Source organism: Homo sapiens, chromosome X (genome assembly GCF_000001405.40).
Source record: "Homo sapiens chromosome X, GRCh38.p14 Primary Assembly".
NCBI classification, from domain to species: Eukaryota; Metazoa; Chordata; class Mammalia; order Primates; family Hominidae; genus Homo; species Homo sapiens.
Genome location: NC_000023.11, coordinates 42,153,320 through 42,157,462, shown reverse-complemented (window position 1 = coordinate 42,157,462; position 4,143 = coordinate 42,153,320).

Sequence of the window (4,143 nt, the reverse complement as noted above, 5' to 3'; positions counted from 1 at the left end):
TGAGACACCATCTCACACCAGTCAGAATGACTATTATTAAAAAGTCAAAAAATAACAGATACTGGCGAGATTTCGGAGAAAAAGGAATGCTTATACACTGTTGGTGGGAGTGTAAATTAGTTCCACAATTGTGGAAAGCAGTATGGTGATTCCTCATAAAGCTAAAAACAGAAATACCATTCAATCCAGCAATCCCACAACTGGGTATATACCCAAAGGAATATAAATCATTCTATCATAAAGACATATGCATGTGTATGTTCACTGCAGCACTATTCACAATAGCAAAGACATGGAATCAACCTAAATGCCCTTCATTGGTAGACTGGATAAAGAAAATGTGGTACATATACACCATGGAATACTGTGCCGCCATAAAAAAGAATGAGATCACGTCCTTTGCAGGGACATGGATGGAGCTGGAGGCCTTTATCCTTAGCAAACTAATGCAGGAACAGAAAACCAAATACTGCCTTTTCTCACTTACAAGCGGCAGCTCAATGTTGAAAAAACATGGACACACAGAGAGGAACCACACACCCTGGGGCCTACCTGGGGGTAGAGAGTGGAAGGAGGGAGAGGATTAGGAAAAATAACTAATGGGTACTAGGCTTGATACCTCGGTTATGAAATACTCTGTCCAGCAAACCCCCATGAGACAAGTTTACCGATGTAACAAACCTGCACATTTACCCCTGAACTTAAAAGTTTAAAAAAAGAATGTCGATGGATAGCAACTGAGTATGGCATTTAGATTTTGCTTCCAAGAGTGACATGACAGTTTTATTTTAAAATGACAATATTTTCCATATGCTAGAAATTATATCCTTTGCAACCATTTAACTTTCTAATTAAAAATATTGTAGAAGTTAACCTCAAAATATGTGAAGAGGATTCATGGTTTAACAAAAATATTTTAGGGGTTATGCAAGCAAAAGAATTTGATGACCACTGTTCTTGTGTGTATTGAAAGAACTCTGGTCTAAGATCAGAAAATCTCACTTCTTATCTTAGCTCTGTCACTAACTAGCTGTGTGACCTTATAGAAATTACTTAACCTCTCTGGGCTTCAGCTTTCTCATCTGTGCAATTAAAGAATGAAAGAACATGGAATCTAAAATCATTTCTAATTCTAAAACCCTCTGTTCTGTGACCTCTAAAATTGCTTTTCTGTCTTTTTACAGTTTCATCTCTTCCTTGGAGTTTCTTCCTTCCTTCTGCTCCTACTCCTATGGCTACATGCCTGCCTCTATCACTTGTGGGCTGGGGAATTAATAGAAATAAAGGCCCCCAGCATACAGCAGACTCTCTTCTCTTTCCATGAGGAAACTTGCATGCATAAACATGAGCAGCTCTACCTGCATATCCAAGATCTGTGTACTCTCTCTATTCCCCCAACCCCTTACACTCCCCTTTTCCACTGCTGACCACCCTGCTTCGGGCTTGGGGGTATATCACTGTCTACCCTCAAGAGGACTAATCTAGGGGAACGGTCTGTGCAGGCCCTGGAAGCAGGCTCATGGCCACTTAAGCAGGGGATTCTCTAGTTCTGTGTACCCAGGCAAGGGTTCCAGGTGGTCACATCCCCTTGGCCTCACAGTCATTCTAACTCATAGGGAAGAACGTGTTTGCAAGAGGGCCAGAGTGAGGTCATCTGAAGCACAGGTCCCAGAGAGGGGTTCCAGTTGCCCAGGTCTAAGGTGGTACTATCTGGCTCTAACCCTTGTTGAATAATTGCTGGCCAGGATGAATGGATAAACACATGTGCATATAAACACAATTAAACACTACACAGCAATAAAAAGGAATAAACTACTCATCAGCAAAACAAGATGGATGAAGCTCAGACACTATGTTAAGTAAAAGAAAGCAGAAAAAAAGTACAAACTATATGACTACATTTCTATGAAATTCAGACAGATAGAAACTATAGGGATAACAGATTTGTGATTGCCTAGGGCCAAGGGTGGGGAACTTTACTACAAAGGGCATGAGATAACTTTCTGGTATAATGAGATGCTTCATCATTTGATTGTCATGGTGGTTTCACAGATGTACACATTTGTCAAAACTTATCAAAAATAAAATAGGTTTATTTTATTGTATATAAATTATACCTCAATGAAATTGATTCATGAAGAAAAACAAGTAACAACAAAAGGATTGCCTAGCAGAACTATCATCTGTCAATAAGTATACATTCCACATCATTGTATGATTTATCTTGCTCTATCCTAATAGAATTATCCTTAAATCCATACATGCATGTTCTTTTTTTTTTTTTTTTTTTTGAGACGGAGTTTTGCTCTTGTTGCCCATGCTAGAGTGCAATGGCATGGCCTCTGCTGACCGCAACCTCCGCCTCCTGGGTTCAAGCAATTCTCCTGCCTCAGCCTCCCGAGTAGCTGGGATTACAGGCATGCGCCACTATGCCCAGCTAATTTTGTATTTTTAGTAGAGACAGGGTTTCTCCATGTTGGCAAGGCTGGTCTGGAACTCCCAGCCTCAGGTGATCCACCCGCCTCGGCCTCCCAAAGTGCTGGGATTACAGGCGTGAGCCACCGTGCCCGGCCTACACGCATGTTCTTAAAGAATTATGTATGTGTGTATGTATGTATGGGGAAGAGGGACTGGTTGTCTCCCATCAGTTAAACGTAGGGGCTGACTCTGAGCCACAGACCTTTTCCTTGACCAGTCTATCTTCATTTTAAAATCAAAATCTCACCAAGGAAGGCAATGTGAATCCAGTGGCCCTGGGTTCAAGTCTAAGGCTTGCCTCTTATGAACTGCATGGCCTTGTGGAGTAGTCAGAGCAGGAGCCTAGCATATAGAAACTTATTTCATCCTCACTCAAACATTGTGAAATAGATGACTCTGACCATGATTTTACAGATGAGACTCTGATCACCATTTTACAGATGAGAAAACTGAGGCTAAGATCCTTCACCTAACAAGCAATAAGTCAGGATTTAAATCTACATTTATTAAGCTCTACCCTCTTATGCTTTTCCAGAGAAAGTTACTTAGCTTCTGAACCTAAAATTCTCTTCTTTCTAAAGCTGGAATAACACTGCTTACAGTTAAGATAATTGTGAAAAATAAATAAAGTGTATTGTGTGATTCATGTATTCAGTAGATTTCAGCAATATTTTATGGCTACAGACTTTCCAACCAATTACAGCTTTTGAGTTAAATACCAACATTAGTACTTCCTACTTCCTTCCTCCTGAGGAGTTCTCCAGTGTAGGAAATTGGAGATTAATGCCAGAAGGTTCAAAAGTGGCCAGCAATTCCATTATAGCCATTAAACAATGATTAGTCAACCCAAGAAGGTGCACGTTACTGTGCAATTTTCTGTTTGAAGCCTATTAAAGGAGTTATTCCATTCCAAGATGCAAGATTTTCAAATGTTAAAGCTCTCTTGGAAGAAAATCTAAGTTCAAACAAAGGAAATTTAGACCTTCCATTTGAGGTTCCACTTCTTGTGGTTCCTTCATCCTCCAAAATTGAAGATCCTCCCTTCATAGCAAATCCTCCATACATACACACCATCCCCGCTTAGAAGTATCAGAAGATTCTAGGGGAAGGTTATTTCCTAATACAGTTATGCTGCGTTACTTCAAACAAGGTATCTAATAACTCTATGACTTCGTGTTCCAAAAAACAACCATGATGATGCCATGTATAGAAAAAAAATATCTAAATAAGAAGCTGTGTGGTTGTGGTTACAAACCCATCCACCACATGGGACTTCTCTTTGCTGAGCATCACGTCGTTCCTATAAGATCAGTGGAGGAGGTTGGTGGGATTGTTCCTGGCACAGTACCTGGCACACTATAGGAACTCAATGATGGCTAGTGCCTTGCCCCCTGCCCCCTGCCCCCTGAGGTTTGAGTGGGCAGGATTTTCCCAGAAGCACTAGACTCTCTTCTTTATTGTAGCAACTGAGTCAACAGGGAATGCATCCACCTTAATTTCTGGGAAAATAAGGCAAGCAAAATTGCAGAGAAAGTGCCACCATGTCTAGGATGAAATGCCCGTTGCTCCATCACAGGAAACAAAGTAAAGGAGGGCCTTCCTGGAGGCTAATTAACAGAAAACTACAGTCATCTGAGACTTAAAAGAATTGAAACAAACCACCAG